General features: G+C 35.2%; 1 annotated feature.

Moving 5' to 3' along the window:
* Positions 11,819–12,320: an enhancer, noted in NCBI's record as "H3K27ac hESC enhancer chr13:68270901-68271402 (GRCh37/hg19 assembly coordinates)". NCBI's record gives its function as "activates a minimal SCP1, AML or CMV promoter by ChIP-STARR-seq in naive H9 embryonic stem cells {active_cell/tissue: H9 hESC(naive)}" and the evidence as "EXISTENCE:reporter gene assay evidence [ECO:0000049][PMID:30033119]".

The raw sequence follows: 22,975 nt of genomic DNA, 5'->3' as shown, positions 1-22,975 counted from the left end.
AAGGTGAATTCCCATTTTCAACACACAAGAAGGCCCAGCTATGTCATAATAGACACTTCACCTCCTGGTTCAGCACACCTTTCCACTGGCTTCACCTTCCCATAGCCTTCCACCTTTCTCTGCCATATCTGTATTCTTAAGTCTGACAAGTGCTTTAACAGCACTATTTATGTGTTGCTCTTCCTCCCTTTTCTTGTCTGGTGATTTTATATTCATCTGAACCTTCATGGTTCAGATTTAATATAATCTCTTTATTAAGCTTTCTCAGACAAAATTAATTGCATTTTCCACTGTGCCCTATAGCATTTTATTTTAGTATTCCAATAGTATACCTATCACATTGTAACAATGTGGGGCCACACTCTATTAGGTGCCTCATACCTCACTTTCACTGTCTTATTTTACCCATTGTACAGATGAGGAGACTTAGTCTTAGAGAGATAACATTTTGTGAGCTAGCTTTAACATTTAGTTTTCTCATAAGTAAATTTGTTCTTACTGGCCTCAAAACACCTATTATTTAGTAGTATATTTACTTGTTCCTCTTTCCATTATAATGAGAGGTTTAAGTAAGTTTATGTCTCCCAACATTGTATCAGCTCCTCCAAGACAGGCGTCATGTGTAATTCATTTTTAAAATTCCCTATAGCACATTCCCTTCCATATATATATATATATGGATATATATATATATCCATATATATATGTGTGTGTGTGTATGTGTGTATATGTGTGTGTGTATATATATATATGTGGTGTGTGTATATATATGTATATAATCTGGGCAAAAGTCAAATGAATGTGACACAACTTCTAAATTTTAAATATTCCAAAATATCTTAAGAAATAAAAAATTTACATCAAAACATTTGCCAATATAGAGTTAAAGTTTTTCCTTACTTTCTCATATATCCATGGAATATAAAGCAAACTTTATAAAATACTGTATTAGTTCATTCTCATGCTGCTAATAAAGACATGCCTGATACTAGGTAATTTATAAAGTAAAAGAAGTTTAATGGACTCACAGTTCCACATGGCCAGGGAGGCCTCACAATCATGGCAGAAGGTAAAGGAGAAGCAAAGGCACAGCTTATATGGCGGCAAGCAAGAGAGTGTGTGCAGAGGAACTGCCCTTTATAGAATTATCAGATCTAGTGAGAACTAACTCACTATCATGAGAACAGGATGGGGGAAATCGCCCCCATGATTCAATTATCTCCACCGGGTCCCTCCGCTGATGTGTGGGGATTATGGTGACTAAAATTCAGTATGAGATTTGGGTGGGGACACAGCCAAACTATGTCAAATACTAACTTGTATTTTAACTTTATGATGGAAATTTAAGTGGTAAATCAATTTGCTAATTTTTTTACTTTCTCTAGTTAATTTTTAAAACAATGTATGTATTAGAATAAATTTGAAAACATAAAGTAGTGATTGTTTGTCAGTTATTGTTTTAACCAAATTTCAAAAGCTTTAAGTAAAGCATATTTAAGGATAAATTAATGTTTTGTGACAAATGTTGAAATTAGATAGCTGAAAAGAATAAATATAACAATTTGTAGCTAACTCCTTGAGTAACAACTATTTTTCAATCTTGTCATCACACAGAAAACAAACCCAACCAAAACTTAGTAAAAGACATTATTTGAAAGGATTATTCCAAGAGTGGGGAAAAATCTATTTCAATAGAGGGATGAGGAGTAGTGAAATAGGGAGAACGTTATTAACCTTTGCTGTTTTCCAGAATCACAAGGCTCAAGTAAAATTCTACATTGCCAGTATTCTTTTATATCAGTTTATGCTTTTTTATGTATTAATTCCTACCTGCCCTGACTGGGGATGATGATTTAAAGAAGCTAGAGTCCATCATAAACCCAGCTTTCTCATACAAAATAGCCCAAGCTACAAGTTACTAGTCAATTGGAAGGACAACTTTAGAGAGGTAACATGAAATGGTGTTCCATGGTGAAGTTTCATCAACAAATCCAAGGCTATTTCCATTAGTTTCTCCCTGTCTGTTTTCCAGTATCCTGCATTACTTATTACTGAAGCAAAAATCCAACTGCAACAGTGCTCTCTGACATGTTTTCTATGTTTACCTTAAAAATGATTGTTTCTTTAGAAATAGTATATACTACATTTATAAAATTAAGAAAGTCCATCAATATAGAAGAAGTGAATATTACACATAATCCTATCACCAATGAATAACCTCTTTTTAAAATTCAATTTTATCTATTTTTAATTTTTTATTTATTTTTTAAAAAAATTAAGTTCCAGAGTACATGTGTAGGATGTGCAAGTTTGTTACATAGGTAAACATGTGCCATGGTGATTTGCTGCACCTATCAACTCAACCCATTACCTAGGTATTAAGCCCAGCATGCACTAGCTATTTTTCCTGATGCTTTCCCTCCCCTCACCCACTTCTGACAGGTCCCAGTGTGTTGTTTCACTCCCTGTCTATGGGTTCATATGGTTCAGCTCCCCACAGAATACTATGCAGCTGTAAAAAGGAACAAGATCATGTCCTTTGCAAGGACATGGATAGAGCTGAAAATCATTATCCTCAGTAAATTAACACAGGAACAGAACACCAAACATGGCATGTTCTAAATTATAAATAACCACTTTTAACATAAGTGTATAGCATAGGACTGTGGTGTCTGCAAGAGCTGGGTTTATGTTGGATCGTGGCTTCTATAAACCATTGTCCTCAGCAGGGGCAACTTGGAATAAATATATAATGTGGTATAAACTAATATAATACATATATACTTAGTTTAAAATAATGCTGTGTTTACATTTTTGTATCCTGCTTTTCTTATATTTCACATGTGGTCATGCAAATAAAAAAGTTATAAAATATTTAAAATATGATACAATAGTTTATTCTATATAATAGTCCCATAAATAGGTATACCATATTTAACTATTATCATGTCCTTAAGATATTTATTTTTATTTTCCAGTTTCCCTGTAAAAATGAATGATGCTTAATAAATATCATAGTGTATAAGTACTTGACTTAAGTGTATAGGTAAATCTGATTGCTTATTAAAGTTATTGTCATGTAACCATAATTACTTACATAAAGGGTAGGAACATTTTAAGGTCAAAAATATTTAATTCTGAGTTGCCTTCCGAAAAAGCCATTAAAATGTATTATTGTACCATATTTTTAGCAGATATAGTTATATGTATATTCAAATATTCTCAAATATATAAACATTTAATGATAAAGATTTTTTTTAAGTTTTTTTAAAATTTCTGGTAGCATATTAGATGTATATGTTTATGGCTTACATGAGATATTTCGATACAGGCATGCAATGTGAAATAATCACAACAAGGTAAATGGGGTATTCACTTCAAGCATGTATTCTTTGTGTTACAAACAATCCTATTATACCCTTTTAATTGTAATATATAATTAAATTATTTTTGACTACAGTCAGCCTCTTGTGCTAGTAAATACTAGGTCTTATTTATTATTTCCTAATATTTTTTGTACTCCTTCACCATCCCCACTTTTCCCCCAACCTCCACCACGCTTCCCAGCCTCTGGTAACCATCCTTCTACTCTCTATCCCTATGAATTCAATTGTTTTGACTTTTAGCTCCCCAAAATAAGTGAGAGCATGCAAAGTTTGTCTTTCTGTTTCTGGCTTACTGCACTTAACATAATGATCACCAATTCCACTCACGTTGTTGCAAATGACTAGAACTCATTCTTTCTTATGGCTGAATAGTACTCCATTGCATATGTGTACCAGATTTTTCTTTATCCATTCATCTGTTGATGCACATTTAGATTGCTTCCAAATCTCCCTTATTATGAATTGTGCTGCAACAAACATGGGAGTGCAAATATCTCTTTAATATACTGATTTTCTTTATTTTGGGTATATACCCAGCAGTGGGATTTGCTGGATGATATCATAGCTCTATTTTTAGTTTTTGAGGAATCTTCAAACTGCTCTCCAGAGTAGTTGTACTAATTTACATTCCCACCAACAGCATACAGAGGTTGCCTTTTCTCCATATCCTTGCCAACATTTGTTATTTCCTGTCTTTTGAGTATAAGCCATTGTAACTGGGGTGAGATAATATCTCATTGTAGTTTTGATTTGATTTTCATTTCTCTGATGATCAATGATATTGAGCAACTTTTCTTATGTGTGTTTGCCATTTGAAATATCTTCTTTTGAGAAATGACTATTCAGATATTTGGCCCATTTTTTATCAGATTATTAGATGTTTTCTTATAGAGTTGTTTGAACTCCTTATATATTCTGGATATTAATCCCTTCTCAGATGGGTAGTTTGACAATATTTCTCTCTCATTCTATGAGTTGTCTCTTGACTTTGTTGATTGTTTCCTCTGCTGTGCAGAAGCTTTTTAATTTGATGTGATTCCATTTGTTCATTTATGCTTTGGTTGCCTATGCTTGTGGGGTATTGCTGAATAAAATATTTGCCCAGACTGATGTCCTGGAGCATTTTCCCAATGTTTTCTTGTAGTAGTTTTATAGTTTGAGGTCTTCAATTTAAGTCTTTAATACATGTGAATATGATTTTTCTATATGGCAAGAAATAGGAGTCCAGTTTTATTCATTGGCTTATGGATATCCAGTTTTCCCAGAAATATTTCTTGAACAGTCTGTCTCTCCCCAGTGTATGTTCTTAGCACCTTTGTCAAAATGAGATCACTAGGTCACTGGGCATGTATGGATTTATCTTTTTGTTCTGTATGCTATTCCACTATCTATGTGACTGTTTTTATGCCAGTACCATGCTCTTTTGGTTACTATAGCTCTGTAGTATAAAGTCAGGTAATGTGAAACTTCCAGTTTTGTGCTTTTTGCTTAGGATAGCTTTGGTTATTCTGGGCCTTTTCTGATTCCATATAAACTTTAGAATTGTTTTTTCTAGTTAAGTAAGCAATGCTCCCGGTATTTTGATAGAAATAACATTAAATCTGTAGATTGTTTTGGGTAGTATGGATATTTTAACAATATTGATTCTTTGAATTCATGAACATGGAATACATTTTGTTTTCTTTTTTTGTTGACCACTTCAACTTTTCGTACTGATGTTTTAGTTTTCATTGTAGAGATCATTCGCTTCTTTCCTTAATTCCTATGTATTTTGTTTATTTGTTCCTATTGCCTATTGTAAATGGAATTACTTTCTTGATTTCTTTTTCAGATTGTTTTCTGCTAGCATATAGAAATGCTACTGACTTTCATATGTTGATTTTTGTATCCTACAACTTTACTGACTTTGTTTATCAATTCTCATCATTTTTTGGTGGAATCTTTAGGTTTCTCCAAATATAAGATAATATTATCTGCAAACAAAAATAATTTGACTTTCTTCTTTTCAGTTAGGATGCCTTTTATTTTTTTCTTTAGTGTGAATGCTCTTTCTAGGACTTCCACTACTATGTTGAATAACAGTGGTGACAGTGGGCATCCTTGTCATACTCCAGATCTTAGAGGAAAGCCCTTCCATATTTCCCCACTGTGTGTAAAGCTAGCTATGAGTCTGTCATGTATAGCTTTTATTTTGTTGTGGTATGTTCCTTCTATACTCAGTTTTTGAGGGTTTTTATCATGAAGAGATGTAGAATTTTACCAAATGCCTTTTCAGCATGAATTGACATGATCATATGGTTTTTATCTTTCATACTGTTGATGTGAGGCATCACATTGATTGATTTGAACCATCTTAGCATCCCTGAGATAAATGGTACTTGGTCATGATAAATTATCTTTTTAATGTATTGTTGAATTAAGTTTGCTAATGTTTTGTTTAGGAATTTTGTATCAATATTTATCAGTAATATTGACCTATAATTTTTTTATGTCTTACTCTGGTTTTGGTATCAGGATAATACTTACTTTGTAGACCGTGTTTGAAAGTGTGTCCTTTATTTTTCAGAATGGCTTGAGTAGCCATTATTAGTTTGTTTTTAAACATTTGGTGGAATTCAGCAGTGAAGCCATTGGGTCCCAGGCTTGTTTCTGGGAGACATTTTTTGTTTGTAAATTCCAAATAATTATATTTATTAATTTTAAAATATTGTGGCAAATGTATTTATTACTAAAATGAGTAGGCTTTGGTTCCGATTAGGTTATGTATTTTTAAATAAATATCACTTACTATTAGAATGAGACAGAATTCAACATCACTTCTATTTCTTTCTCTTTGTTTTTTGGTCTTTCTTTATTTTTTAATTTTTTTTTATTTTAATAGGTTTTGGGGGAACAGTTGGTGTTTGGTTACATGAATAACTACTTTAGTGGTGATTTCTGGGATTTTGTTGCACCCATCACCTGAGCAGTGTACACTGTACCCAGTGTATAGTCTTTTATCCGTCATCCCTCTCCCACCCTTTCCCCTGAGTCCCCAAAGTCCATTGTATTATTCTTATGCCTTTTCATCTGCATAGTTTAGCTTCTGCTATGAGAGAAAATATATGATGTTTGGTTTTCCATTTCCAAGTTACTTTACTTAGAATAATGGTCTCCAAATCCATCCAGGTTTCTGCAAATGCCATTACTCTGTGTGTATGTGTTTGTGTGTGTGTGTGTGTGTGTGTGTGTGTGTGTGTCTGAGTAGTATTCCATGATATATATAGACCACATTTTCTTTATCCACTTGTAGGTTGATGCGCATTTGGGCTTGTCCCATATTTTTGCAGTTTCAAATTGTGCTGCTATAAACATGCATGTAAAAGTATCTTTTTCATGTAATGACTTATTTTCCTCTGAATAGACACCCAGTAGTAGGATTGCCAGATCAAATGGCAGATCTGCTTTTAGTCATTTAAGGAATCTCCACACTGTTTGTCATAGTGGTTGTATTAGCTTACATTCACACCAGCAGTGTAAAGATGTTTCCTTTTCACCAGATCCATGCCAACATCCACTATTTTCTGATTATGGCCATTCTTGCAGGAGTAAGGTGGTAAGGTGGTATTGAATTGCGGTTTTGACTTGCATTTTTCTGATCATTAGTGATGCTGAGCATTTTTCCATATGTTTTACGGCCATTTATTATCTTCTTATGAGAATTGTCTCTTCATGTCGTTAGTCCACTTTTTGATGAGATTGGATTTTTTTTTTTTTTTGCTGATTTGTTTGAGTTCGTTGTAGATTCTGGATATTAGTTCTTTGTCAGGTGTATAGATTAGGAAGATTTTCTCTCACTCTTTGGGTTGCAGAAGATTTTTAGTTTAATTAAGTCCCATCTATTTATCTTTGTTTTTGTTGCATTTGCTTTTGGGTTCTTGGTAATGAAGTCTTTGCCTAAGCCAATATCTACAAGGGTTTTTCTGATGTTATCTTCTAGAATTTTTATAGTTTCAGGTCTTAGATTTAAGTATTTGATTCATCTCAAGTTGATTTTTGTATAAGGTGAGAGTCCAGTTTCCTTCTTCTACATGTGGCTTGCCAATTATCCCAGCACCATTTGTTGAGTAGAGTGTCCTTTCCCCACATTATGTTTTAGTTTGCTTTGTTTTATGGCTGCATAGTATTCCATGGTGTATATGTGCCACATTTTCTTTATCCAGTCTATCATTGGTAGGCATTTGGGTTGGTTCCAAGTCTTTACTATTGTGAACAGTGCTGCAATAAACACACGTGTGCATGTGTCTTTATAGTAGAATGATTTATAATCCTTTGGGTATATACACAGTAATGGGATTGCTGGGCTTTCTTTGTTAAAGATCAGTTGGCTCTAAGTATTTGGCTTTATTTCTGGCTTCTCTATTCTCTTTAATTGGTCTATGTGCTCTATTTTTATGCCAGAACCATGTTATTTTGGTGACTATGGCCTTATAGTGTAGTTTGAAGTCTGTAATGTAATGCCTCCAGGTTTGTTCATTTTGTTTAGTCTTGCTTTGGCTATGCAGGTTCTTTTTTGCTAGTCCTGTCAAAATTTTAGGATTGTTTTTGCTAGTCCTGTCAATAATGATGATAGTATTTTGATGGAAATTACATTTAATTTGTAGATTGCTTTTGGCAGGATGGTTATGTTCACAATAGTTTCTACCGATCCATGAATATGGATGTGTTGCCATTTGTTTGTGTCATCTATAATTTCTTTCAACAGTGTTTTGTAGTTTTAATTCTAGAATTCTTTCACCTTCTTGGTTAGGTATATTTCTAAGTATTTTATTTTATTTTATTTTATTTTTGCAGCTATCATAAAAGGGGTTGCATTCTTGATTTGATTCTCAGTTTGGCCATTCTTGGCGTATAGCAGTGTTGTTGATTTGTGTACATTAATTTTGTATTCTAAAACTTTGCTGAATTCATTTATCAGTTCAAGGCGCTTTTTGGAAGAGTCTTTATGGTTTCTAGATATATGACCATATTGTCAGCAAACAGCGACAGTTTGGCTTTCTCTTTACCGATTTGGATGCCATTTATTTCTTTCTCTTGTCTGACTGCTCTGGCTATGACTTCCAGTATTATGTTGAGCAGAAGTAGTGAAAGTGGGCATCCTTTTCTTGATCCAATTATCAGGGGAAATGCTTTCAAAATTTCCCCATTCAGTACAATGTTGACCGTGGGTTTGTCATAGATGGCTTTTATTACCTTAAGGTATGTCCCTTCTATGCTGATTTTGCTGAGGATTTTAATCACAAATTTTTGCTGGATTGTGTCTAATGCTTTCTCTGAATCTATTGAGATGATCATGCGATTTTTGTTTATAATTTTGTTTATGTGGTGTATCACATTTATTGACTTATGTACATTAAGCCATCCCTGCATCCCTGGTATGAAATTGACTTGATCATGGTAGATTATCTTTGTGAGATGTTGTTGAATTAAGTTCGCTAGTATTTTGTTGAGGATTTTTGCACCTATGTTCATCAGGGATATTAGTTTGTAGTTTTTGTTGTTGTTGTTGTTGTTATGTCCTTTCCTGGTTTGGGTATTAGGGTGATACTGGCTTCATAGAATGACTTAGGGAGATTCCCTCTTTTTCTCTCTTTTGGATTAGTGTCAGTAGGATTGATATGACTTATTCTTTGAATGTCTGATAGAATTCAGCTGTGAATCCATCTGGTCCTGAACTATTTTTTGTTGTTGGCATTTTTTGTATTACCATCTCAATCTTTCTACTTGCTATTGGTCTGTTCAGAGTTTCTATTTATTCCTGGTTTTATCTAGGAGGGTTGTATATTTGCAAACATTTATGCATCTTCTCTAGGTTTTCTTATTTATGTGTATAAAGGTGTTCGTAGTAGGCTTGAATGATCTTTGACTTTTTTATGGTATCGGTTGTAATATCTCCTGTTTTGTTTCTAGTTGAGATTATTTGAATCTTCTCTCTTCTTTTCTTGATTAATCTCACTAATGGTTATTGATTTTGTTTATCTTTTCAAAAAGCCACCTCTTTGTTTAATTTATCTTTTGTATTTTTTTTTTGTTTCAATTTCATTTAGTTCTGCTCTGATCTTTGTTATTTATTTTCTTCTGCTGGGTTTGGGTTTAGTTTGTTCTTATTTCTCTAGTTCCATGAAATGTGACCTTAGATTTTCTTTCTGTGCCCTTTCAGGCTTTTTGATGTAGATATTTAATGCTGTGAACTTTCCTCTTAACATTGTCTTTGCTGTGTCCCAGAGGTTTCGATAGGTTGTGTCACTATTATTGTTCAGTTCAAAGAAGATTTAATTTCCATCTTGATTTCATTGTTGACTCAATAATTGTTCATGAGCAGGTTATTTAATTTTCAGGTATTTGCATGATTTGGGGGGTTCTTTTTAGAGCTGATTTCCAATTTTATCCCACTGTAGCCTGAGAGGGTACTTGATATAATTTCCATTTTTAAAAAATGTATTGAGACTTGTTTTGTGGCCTATCATATAGTCTATCTTGGAGAATGTTCTATGTGTTCATGAATAGAACGTATATTCTGCTGCTGTTTGGTAGAATGTTCTGTAAATATATGTTAAGTCCAATTGTTTTATGGTATAGTTTAAGTCCATTGTTTCTTTGTTGATTTTCTGTCTTGATGACCTGTCTAGTGCTGTCAGTGGAGTATTGAAGTCCATTGTGTTGCTGTCTGTCTCATTTCTTAGGTCTAGTAATAATTGTTTTATATATTTGGGAGTTCCAGTGTTAGATGCATATATATTTAGGATTTTGGTATTTTCCTGTTGGACAAGTCTTTTTATCATTACATAATGTCCCTCTTAGTCTTTTTTAACTGCTGTTTCTTTAAAGTTTGTTTTGTCTGATATAAGAATAGCTACTTCTGCTCGATTTTGGTATTCATTTGCATAAAACATCTTTTTCCACCCCTTTACCTTAAGTTTATGAGAGTCCTTATGTTTTAGGTGCATGTCTTGAAGACAGCAGATACTTGCTTGGTGAATTTTTGTCCATTCTTCCATTCTGTATCTTTTAAGTGGAGCATTTAGGCCATTTACATTCAGTGATGTGAAGTAATATTCTATTCATCAGGCTATGTTTTTTTTTTTTTGTTTTTTTTTCATCATGTTATTGTTTTATAGGTCCTGTGAGATTTATGCTTTAAGGAGGTTCTATTTTGGTGTATTTTGAGGATTTGTTTAAATATTTAGAGCTCCTTTTAGCAGTTCTTGTAGTGCTGGCTTGGTAGGGGCAAATTCTCTAAGCATTTGTTTGTATGAAAAACACTGTATCTTTTCTTCATTTATGAAGCTTAGTTTTACTGGATAGAAAATTCTTGGCAGATAATTGTTTCGTTTAAGGATGCTACAGCTAGGACCCCAATCCCATAGAGCTTGTAGGGTTTCTGCTAAGAAATCTGCTGTTTTCCTTTCTAGGTTACCTGATGCTTTTGCCTCATAGCTCCTAAAATTCTTTCTTTTGTCTTGACTTTAGATAACCTGATGTCTATGTGCCTAGGTGATGATCTTTTTGCAATACATTTCCCAGGTGTTCTTTGAGTTCTTGTATGTGGATGTCTAGATCTCTAGCAAGGCCAGGGAAGCTTTCCTCAATTATTCCCTCAAATATGTTTTCCAAATGTTTAGATTTCTCTTCTTCCTTGGGAACCCCAATTTTTTTTTTTTTTTTGAGACAGAGTCTCGCTCTGTTGCCCAGGCTGGAGCGCAGTGGCATGATCTCGGCTCACTGAGAGCTCTGCCTCCCAGGTTCATGCCATTCTCCTGCCTCAGCCTCCCAAGCAGCTGGGACTACAGGCACCCGCCACCACGCCTGGCTAATTTTTTTGTATTTTTAGTAGAGACGGGGTTTCACTGTGTTAGCCAGGATGGTCTTGATCTCCTGACCTCGTGATCCACCTGCCTCAGCCTCCCAAAGTGCTGGGATTACAGGCATGAGCCACCCCACACAGCTCAGTTATTTTTATATTTGGTTGTTTAACATAATCCCAAACTTCTTGGAGGCTTTGTTTATTTTTTTTAAATTCTTTTTTCTTTGTGTTTATTGAATTTGATTAATTTGAAAACCTTGTCTTCAAGCTCTGAAGTTCTTTCTTCTATTTGTTGCTGCTGGTTATTCAGAGGCCAAGGTCTCCTTTGTCAGCATGTGATAGATCCTTTCAGGACTTTATCCTTCCCATCAAGGCAGCGGATTCCCTTCCAGCCCAGGGTGTTTCTAGAAATGTCTTCCAGGAGCTTGGGCCTGGGAAAGGGGCCTCATGACTTTGACTGGTGCCCTGACCTACTTTGGGTGAGCTGGTATCCAAGTCACAAGACAATGTGCTCTCCCTTTTCTCTTATCATGTGGAAGGAAAGGGTATTTTATTGGAGCCTGGGTTTGGGAAAGGGGTGACACAAGCACTGCCTTAGCTACCTCAGCTGGTGTCTCAGTAGGTCCCATGCCCTTCAAGTCCACTGGCTCTGAGGCCAATTCAGCACGAGGACTCACCTACAAGCTGCTATCCTTATGGCCTAAACTGCCTTTCAAGTTTATTTGGGGCCCCCAATCACTCTAGACTGTGGTGGTGAGGCTTATCAGAACTCAAATTACAACTGCTGGGATGGACAGTTCCCCTCTGGCTATGGCTGATTTAAATACTCCATGGACTGGCTTTAACGGAGTTCAGCACAGTTTTGCTTTCTGTTGTGACAGGGAATCACTGAGTTCAATACAATGTCTCACAATTGCTGTGCTTTCCCTCTTCCAAGTGCATAGATTCTTTCTCGGGCTGCTGCCAGGCAATGGGAGGTGGATGACATCAGCAATTTAAGACTGTCTTTTCTACCTTCATTAGTGCCTCTTTCGACAATATGCAGTTAAAACCAGGTAATGTAAGTGCTCACCTGATTTTTGGTTCTCGTGAAGGTGCTTTATTTGTGTGTAGATAGTTGTTAAATATGGTGTTCCTACCGGGGACGAATGGTGCGGCTTTGTATTCAACTCTTTTGCTTTGCCGTTCTTCATATTTTATAATTTAACTTGCATTTACTGATAATATTGAACATAGTCATATTTTATTATTTATTTTTATTTACTGATTATGTTTCAACATTTGTTTTTTCTTTCTCTTTGAATTGTTGGGCCTCCTTTTATGTAAGAAATATGACCATATATCTTATAAATTACATGAGCTTTCCACAACTTGTTTCACTATTTAGTTCTATTTCTTTTTCGATACTTAGCCCTTCCTACACCCATTTATACTCCTTGGAATAAGCCTGCTGTCTTTACTCTTTAGCAAAATCTAACTTTCTCTTTTCTCCACCTCCATTCTGTGATTCATGCACTAATAATTTAAAATGTCCTTGCTTTCTTGTGCTCCTTTGAAAATGTTATTCTGGCAATAATGATTTGACTGTGAATCCCACACAATTCTTTTGCAACTCTTTTACGTATTATTATTTCTGTAACCTATCAAAATTCAGGTTACTATGCCTTTTCCATTTTTTTGTACTGCTTATATCTTTCCATTTGCCTGAATTTTTGTCTTATCATTTTATTTTCTGGAAAAATCTTACTTTATCTTCTGGAATTAATTCAAATGCCATTAACATCTCTATAAGTTTTTTCAATCAAGAGTAAATGACTCCTGTGTGCTTTGAGAATTGTTTGTCTTTCTAACCCCCAAGTTTAGAAGTCTCTTAAAAAATAGATGCTAAAAATTTTTTAAGTAAATGAATTTATATCATGCATAATATCATCTTCTATAGTTGTGTTCTTTGTATTTTTATGTGTACATTCATATCACATATACACAAACTCTTTTTATTCTTGATGGTTCATTCATTAGAGATAAAGACCAGGTATTTTTCATAGAATGTATGTAATAAACGTTTTTGAATAAATGGCTTCAGCGCATGCAACATGCATATACACAGAAACATGTACAATCAACTGGTAACATGGATGAGCTAATGTGGAGTTGGTTATTCAAGGTTAGCAGAAGATCATTAAAGAGACAGCAAATTCCGATAGAATATTTAAAACCAGAGGCAAGGAGAGACAAAAAAACAAGTTGTTCTTTAATTTGTTTAAAGCTGAATTTATAGTTGGATATTGATTAGCAATCATCAGAAATATCAGAGTAAAAGTATAGCAAGTAGTGTTAACAATATAATTTGAACTTAATTGAAAAATTTTTTTTTCAGATTTTCCACCACTTTTTGGAGTAGTTAGCATGAATCTACTGACAATCCAATAGCTGAATTTAAATGATCATTTCTCTGAAAATGTGTGTAGTCTCAGACACAGAATGTACAGATATTTGGACTGTCTTAAGATCTAACTGAGATAGTTTTATGCAAGATTAGATTGGCTATATAAAACCCAATAGAAAATAAAGCTAATTAAATGACACATACAGAATCAAAGATAAGTGCTGTGTAAAAAGTGAATGTTCAGAAGTGGTCCAGATAAGTGATTAATGCAGAGTGATATTCTGAAAAGTCAAAAGAATGCATTGCACTTTGGTGCTTTATGATCTACAATTGATAAAAATATCCAGGCTTAGTTTGCACTCCAGTTGGTGAAGTATATTCTCACTTTTAGCTATATTTTGCAATGAAATGCTAGATAGCAGTTGGATATAATTTTTCCATAATAGAAATAGCAAAACATCTTCCCTATTATCCCATAACAAACAATATTCATATCAAAATGAACCCATTTAATGAAAAGTGTAGCTGCTTTTACACACTTTTATAGCAGTTTGATCATATTTTGGCATAATCAGCATTGAAGTAAATCTAGTGTACGTCTCAATGGAAAATGTTAAAGCTGAATAAAAAACTGCACAGATCCAGTTTTCTCATGCACAATTTTTAAAACGATGCTCAAAATTATACAGAACTATGCTGCTTAGGCATTTCCTTAATGAATTGGAGTGAATGATGGTACTTTCTTATAAACAAACAGGCACATAGAAACATTAAAGTGGAAAGGAGAATTGAGAAAATTGCATTATGCTAATCCCAAGAAACTAATTCCTGTGATGTAGTACAAGAACAGTCTATATCCCATTCACTTCACATAAGAAATATACTGCAGAGGCCATTCAGAAGTTACTATTACTTCAGAGTGCATTCAGCAAGTCAACGTTATATGCATTCACTATTTTTTTTTTTTTTTGCAATAACGGTTGTATGGGTGCTGTCAGAGTTGTAAAACTCCATCAGTATTTTTGGAAAAAGCAATTTGATTTAAAAAAATGTAAAATTGGGGACTCATAATTGTGGCCTCATCTATAGGATACTAAACAGAGGAGTATACTTAAATAAAATAAAAAGACAATTTTATTCAAATTTTTATACCTCTTGTTACAAAATTTAGTTTTAAATACTAGTGTTATATGCCCTCCTAATGGAAAATAACTCATTTAAGTAGTTTAACAATATTAATTTTGTTAAAAGAAATGTATTATTACTTAGTGAAGTATTCCTCTGAAGAAACTTACAATGTTTGATTTTAAATATATTACCTTTATATTTCTGTGGAACCACCATGATAGTTTTTTCTTTCTGTGTCTTCTGTGAATATTTTGTTTGATAATTAAAATGGTTCTGCGTTCAAAGTCATGCCAATTGTGACTTTTTTGTTTGATATAATTAATATTGTCTGTATAAGATTCATGCTTATTCAGATAGCAAAAATGCTCAAATCCTGTTGGTTGTAGCAGAAAGACATGTTCAAGCCAACTGATAAATTTTATTAAGTTATTTAAAAAAACAATATGTTTGATTTGAAGAGGACTTCGTAGTAAAAAATATTTAAAGAATCTGGTGTAAGGTCAAGTACCAAACTCAATCATCAAATGTGACCTGTGCTTTTATAATTTCTCTTGCAAAATACTCTCAGAATCACATTAGAAACTAAGCTTAAAAATGTCCTTGACAGTCTAGCATATTATAACCATGTGCAGGGTGAAAATTTGGCAAACATGCCAGTTTTTTAATCCCAATTTTTTTCATTAGGATAGTATTATGAAATGTGTTCTGTGTTCTGAAGTGACTGTTGATTCATATTGATATGGTTTGGCTGTGTCCCCACTCAAATCTCAACTTGAATTGTATCTCCCAGAATTCCCACGTGTTGTGGGAGAGACCCCGTGGGAGGTAATTGAATCATGAGGGCCAGTCTTTCCTGTGCTATTCGCATGATAGTGAATAAGTCTCACAAGATCTGACGGTTTTATCAGGGGTTTCTGCTCTTGCTTCTTCCTCATTTTCTCTTGCTGCCACCACATAAGAAGTGCCTTTTACCTCCCGCCATGATTCTGAGGGCTCCTCAGCCATGTGGAAATGTAAGTCCAATTAAACCTCTTTTTCTTCCCAGTCTCAGGTATGTCTTCATCAGCAGCATGAAAATGCACTAATACAGTAAATTGGTACCAGTAGAGTGAGGCATTCATGAAGAGATACCCAAAAATGTGGAAGCGACTTTGGAATTGGGTAATAGGCAGAGGTTGAAACAATTTGGAGGGCTCAGAAGAACCCAGGAAAATGTGGAAAAGTTTGGAACTTCCTAGAGACTTGATGAATGGCTTTGCCCAAAATGCTGACAGTGATATGGACAATAGGGTCCAGGTTAAGGTGGTGTCAGTTGGAGGTGAGAAACTTGTTGTGAACTGGAGGAAAGGTGACCCTTGTTATGTTTTAGCAAACAGACTGGCAGCATTTTGCCTCTGCCCTAGAGATTTATGGAACTTTGAACTTGAGAAAGATGATTTAGGATATCTGACTGAAGAAATTTCTAAGCAGTAAAGCATTCATGAGGTGACTTGGGTACTGTTAAAGTCATTCCATTTTATAAGGGAGGAAGAGCATAAAAGTTTGAAAAATTTGCAGCCTGACTACATGATAGAAAAGAAAAACCCTTTTTCTGGGGAGAAATTCAAGCTGGCTGCAGAAATTTTATAAGTAGCAAGGAGTCTAATGTGAATCCTCAAGACCATAGGAGAAATATCGCCAGGAAATGTCAGAGACCTTCATGGCAGCCCCTCCCACCGCAGGTCCAGAGGCCCAGGGGGGAAAAAGTGGTTTTGTGGGCTGGGCCCAGGGTCCCCATGCTGTGTGTAGCCTAGGGACTTGGTGCCCTGTGTCATAGCTGCTCCAGCCATGGCTGAAAGGGGCAAACATACAGCTCAGGCTGTGGATTTAGAGGGTGAAAGCCCCAAGCCTTGGCAGCTTCCATGTGGTGTTGAGCCTGTGGTGCACAGAGGTCAAGAATTGAAGCTTGGGAACCTCAGCCTAGATTTCAGAAGATGTATAGAAATACCTGGAATCCCAGGCAAAGGTTGGCTGCAGGGACAAGGCCCTCATGGAGAACCTCTGCTGGGGCAGTGTGGAAGAGAAATGTGGGGTCAGAGCCCCCAGAGAGAGTTTCTACTGGGGCACTGCCTAGTGGAGCTGCGAGAAGAGGGCCACCAGCCTCCAGACCCCAGAATGGTAGATCTCCTGACAGCTTGCACTGTGCTCCTGAAAAAGCTGCAGACACTCAATGCTAGCCCATAAAAGCAGCCAAGAGGGAGGCTGTACCCTGCAAAGCCAGAGAGGCAGAGTTGCCCAAGACCATGGGAACCCACCTCTTGCTTTAGCATGACCAGATGTAAGACCTGGTGTCAAAGGAGATCATTTTGGAGCTTTAAAATTTAACTGTCCTGATAGATTTCAGACTTGCATGGTCCTGTAACCCCTTTGTTTTGGCCAATTTCTTCCATTCGGAATGGCTGTATTTACCCAATACCTGTATCCCCATTGTATCTAGGAGGTAACTAGCTTGCTTTTCATTTTACAGGCTTCATAGGTGGAAGGGACTTGCCTTGTCTCAGATGAGACTTTGGACTATGGACTTTTGGGTTAATGCTGAAATGAGTTAAGAGTTTGGGGGAATGTTGAGGAAACACAATTGGTTTTGAAATGTGAGGATGTGAAATTTGGAAGGGCCGGGGCAGAATTATTTGATTGGGTTGTGTCCCCACCCAAATCTCAACTTGAATTGTATCTTCCAGAATTCCCACGTGTTGTGGGAGAGACCCAGGAGGAGGTAATTGAATCATGGTATCTGGTCTTTCCTGTGCCATTCTCATGATAATAAATAAGTCTCACAAGATCTGATGGGTTTATCAGGGGTTCCTGCTTTTGCTTCTTCCTCATTTTCTCTTGCCACAACCATGTAAGAAGTGCCTTTTGCCTCACACCATGATTCTGAAGCCTCCTCAGCCATGTAGTACTGTAAGCATAATTAAACCTCTTTTTCTTCCTGGTCTCAGGTATGTCTTTATCAGCAGCATAAAAACAGAAAAATAGACATATAGAATGCTAAGGGTACATCCTATAGAACCAGATATCTTTATTAGAACCCTACCCAATCTAATCAGAAATATGTGAGCCTGAGCTAGTTGCAAAGCCTGACAATACATCAATGTATTTAACTTTGAAACCAGGATAATAATAAAATTTTTCTAACAGGATTTCTTAAAGTGTGATTTTCAAAAGGTTAGAAATTATGACTCTCATTCAAATATAAAATTAACATTTGTCAAAGTTTATATGTGACTCACTACTTAATGATGGAACCAGTAGCATGTTATGAATAGTTTAAAGAACATTTGAGAGTATATATAAAAATAAAGCTAGAGGTAAACACAGCATTTGATAGGTTGCTGAATTAAATGTGAAACTGGCTAATGTCAATGAGGCTATAAACCATAATATACTGCTCAGGAGATGGGTGCACCAAAATCTCACAAATCACCACTAAAGAACTTATTCATGTAAACAGATACCACCTGTTCCCCTAAAACCTATGGAAATAAAGAGTTAAAAAATAAATAAAAATTTTTTAAAAAAAATAATACTTTGGTTATCTCTTTTACTGGACAGACAGATATTACATCTCAACCAGACAGAATTCTACAGGTTAAGCACTACCTGTGGAAGGTTGAAAATCACTCAGAAAATAAGGCCAGTACTGCACTGAAAAATACACAGTAAACTCGTTTACCTGTATCCAAGCTGTGAACATTTTTGTTTTGACAGTTTTCTCTCTTATGGTCACAATCTCCAAAGATTATTCTTGATCACATAAAAAGCTGGTCTTATTAGATTTGGCTTGATTATTATCATAGATAAAGCAACAGTGTTACTGAACTTAATATGCCTTCTTGAATTTGTTCTGCAAATTAGACTCAAACAGTTTTGACAACTAATACTGCCAAATGTTTACTCTCTGTGTATAAGTTCAAAGGAAATCACAGATTGGCTCCCAAACACTGACTTATTCTAAGACTTCTGGGGCTGGGAAGCAAGCCCATGACACTCTTTCAGATTTCCAAATTATATATTTGTATAAATTTGTCTCAAATTGAGATTCTTCAAGTTTTTTTAAGGTCCTCAACTTGCTAGACAGTGAATTTCTTATCACCTGTGAGACTCACTTTGTAATCCAGGTAACAAGTTAATTTTAGATTTATGGAGTTTGTCTCCAAATATATAAAATTGATATCTATCTCTTAATATGAGCTTGAATACCTGATTAAACAATATTTTTCTCAAATTTAACACTCCAATTATGGCCTTGGATGAACTATTGATTTGATCAATTATATCCTAATAAGATGAAAGAAACAGTCATATTTCATCTATGCAAATAAGGGATTACCAATAAAAAACCTCAGCAAAATTATGTTTTTATCTTTAAGGAGATAGTAAAAATTACATATTAATTTTAAATAATTTATTTCAGCTTAAAAAAGAATAATCTGCTAAACTGTGTGTTAGAAAGTGGTTGAAAAGACAGAAAGAGCTTTGTATACTAACTTAAAATAAAACATTAAAAATAATGAAAACAATATTCCAAAATTTCACCTCTAGCCAAGATAGAAAATATTTGTGGTAATTTGTTACATCAACAATAGAAAACTAATATAAGTCTTATAAATTAAAGTACAGAACTTACCTTCCCATATTAAACAATTGTAAGTCCAGACAAAAAGTTTCAAAAAAGCTTTTAGGATATAAACAATTGGCAGCTAAGGACATTGATCTCTGAGTAAAAGAAAAACAAGGTAACTCCTGCATGTTCCACCAATGAGTTTCCAGGCTCAGCAAAGTACAATTCAGGTTGAGCCCTGTGGTCTCCCTGTCTTGGAGAGATGAAGTTGAGTATTCAAAAGGATGAAGCCAACCAGTATCGCAATGCCAAGTATTGAAGAGAGGAGAGCTGCACAGAGAGCTCTGAAGACATGCAGAGGATGTCCCTGAAGTCTTCTCAGTGATTATTAGACTATGAGTATAAGGATGGGAAAAACACACAGAAAGGGAGAAGACAAAACAATTTCTGGAGTTCATAAAGAGGTAGGGATAGACATCCAGTTTCCCAACTGCTCTATTGTTAAACTTCATAATATACAGCACTTGAGAAGAATACTCAATAGTAGGGACAAATTAGCCCTAATTTAAAGTTTGCTCTGGTTCCACTTTAAAGCTTAAAAGCTTCCCTTGAAAGTATGAAACTATTTCCAAGACAAATAACTGCATCTAAGCACAAAGTTCAAAATCATTTGAAGAAATACAATATCACAAATCTGCACTCAACAATAGAGAGTTCAGAATGCTCATCATCTACTGCCCAGGTATGAAAAGAAATGGAAAAACATGACCCATGATAAAAAAAAAAAATTAGTCAAAAGAAAGAGACTCAGATATGATACTTATGATACAGTTAATAGACATAGGTATTGATTAGCTAATACATGTATACTTCATATGTTCAATAAGTTAGCAGGAAGCATGAGCATGTTCAGAAAGATATGGGAACATAGAAAAATACCCAAATTGAACTCATAGAAATTAAAAATACAAGATCTGAGATGAAAAATACACTGAAGGGGCTAACAGTAGAAGAAAATGTTATTGTTGCAGGCAGGTTTTAAAATTATTATCATTAATTCCTGCCTCTTGGCATTCATAACAATGTGGAAAGTCTTATCCTTAAGTAGCTTACTTTTAAGACAAGATACAGCAATGTTGAGAGGCTATCATTTATGTGTTAGAAGATCGTGACTTCATTCAAGCTAGATTATTCACCATTGCCTTCTCAGCTTCCATGCATTGATAAAGCAAGCAATTGTGGTGCACAGGCCCACATGGCAAGAAACTGAGTGCAGCCTCTAGTGAACAGCCAGTTAGAGACTGAGGCCGATGACAAACAGACCTCTAGGAATTTAACTCCACCCACAACTATGTAAGATTGAAAGTAGACCCTTCCCACATTAAGCCTTCATGTGAGACCACTGACCTTGTCAACATCTTGATTTCAGGCTTGGGAGAGACCATAAAGCAACAGACTCATTTATTCCATGCCCATGGCTCCTAGCCACAGAACATATGAAATAATAAATGTATTTTTTTTTTTTTTTTGAGACGGAGTCTCGCTCTGTCCCCAGGCTGGAGTGCAGTGGCAGGATCTGGGCTCACTACTAGCTCTGCCTCCCAGGTTCACACTATTTTCCTGCCTCAGCCTCCGGAGTAGCTGGGACTACAGGCGCCCGCCACCACGTCTGGCTAATTTTTTGTATTTTTAGTAGAGACGGGGTTTCACCGTGTTAGCCAGGCTGGTCTCGATCTCCTGACCTCGGGATCCGCCCGCCTCGGCCTCCCAAAGTGTTGGGATTACAGGCGTGAGCCACAGCTTGGCCAAACGTAGCTTATTTTTAACTGCTAGCTTGTGGTAATTTCTTATGCATCAATGGTAACTAACATAACTAGAAACTTGATATAATTACAAATTTGCACAATTGTAACACATTTCATAGTTTATTTTCAGACCTAGGTCTTGTAATAGAAGAATTTCCACGTTCTAATCCCTAAACCTGTGAATATGTTACAACACATGGTAATAAAGACTTTTCGGTTTAATTATGAAATTTCAGATGCGGAGAGCATCCTGGATTATCCAGTTAGGCCCAATGCAATCCCAAGGGTCTTTACGAGGAAAAAAGCAAGTCAGAGAAGAAGATGTGAATATGGAAGCAGAGGTCAGAGTGAGGTGGTTGCTGGCTGCAATGGGCGCATGAGTGAAGGGATCGGGGGTAGCTTCTGTAAGCTGAGAAATACAAGTTAAATGAATGAGGTTATTCCTAGAACCTTCTGAAGGCATGCTTCCCTGCTGGCTCCTTTGTTTTAGCCCAGTGAGACCCAATTTGGAGCTCTGATTACAGAATTGTAAGATAATAAATTTGGGATTCTTTAAGTCACAAATTTTGTGGTAATTTGTTACAGCACCAATAGAAAACTAATACAAATCATATAAATTAAGGCAAATAATATCCACTCTTCTAAAATCTTTTATAATCTGTTATTCTTCCTCAAGTTTTGTCTTTCTTTATACTCATATATTCTGAGACAACCTAAATATACACTTTTCCACAAAATTATTTACTCTACGCTTGAAAAACAGTAATTTTTTTTATTATCTGTCATGCATGGTTCTATTTCTTGTCACTAGTACTCTGGGTATACTCTAAACCACTCAAATAAATAACTTTCCATCAAAGTCACTAACTTTTATTTCCCAGGAAAAAATGGGAGAGAGAAAGCTGTGAAGTGTGTCTTAATCAAATATTTTAGAAGATTAGCAAAATATAAAAATACACTTAACACAACTGTCTATAGCCACACATCTTTTACACCTTTTTTTAAGTGATTCATTAATGTGACTCAAAGATAAAACCACCATTCTGCACCATATAAAATGAAGCAAAAGTATAAAAATTTAAATCTATGCATTACAATAAATTTTCATTATTCAGTCTTACTAAGAATGTATGCAGATATGCAACATTATTTATTAATTAACTCAATTTAATAATGCAAAATTTTTAAGTTACCTAAAGCTCTTGGAAATTGTTTAAATTTACAAAGACAAGAACAATCTAAGCTAATAGAGAAAAACAATCTATCACTATAAAAATTTTTGTTGTAATTATTATTCTAATAAACATAATAAATTTAACTTTGTCATAACATTTGATAGTATGTGATAGCTTATGTAGTCCACTTGATCAGATAACCAGTATAGATTTAGAATGTCTGTCATAATCTTCCATGTTATGTGATGATTTATGTAGCTTACTAGATCAGATAACCAGTATAGGATTAGAAAGTTAATATTAACTGGTTTCTTCACTGGTAACAAGCACAAATTTGTTAAAGATAAATAAATAAAATGTACACTTGTATTATCTTCCCAAATGATAAGCTCCGGGAAAAGGCACATAACCATTTAATTTAAACACACATCCAATTATTACACTGCCCTAAGATGTAAGATTTACCTTCATTATGGGGGAGCCAAGATGGCCGAATAGGAACAGCTCCAGTCTACAGCTCCCAGCGTGAGCGATGCAGAAGACGGTGATTTCTGCATTTCCATCTGAGGTACCGGGTTCATCTCACTAGGAAGTGCCAGACAGTGGGCGCAGGTCAGTGGGTGTGCGCACCGTGCGCGAGCGGAAGCAG

This window comes from Homo sapiens, chromosome 13 (genome assembly GCF_000001405.40).
Source record: "Homo sapiens chromosome 13, GRCh38.p14 Primary Assembly".
Taxonomy (NCBI): domain Eukaryota; kingdom Metazoa; phylum Chordata; class Mammalia; order Primates; family Hominidae; genus Homo; species Homo sapiens.
The sequence above is the reverse complement of the archived record's forward strand: the minus strand, read 5'-3'. Positions and strand labels throughout refer to the sequence as shown.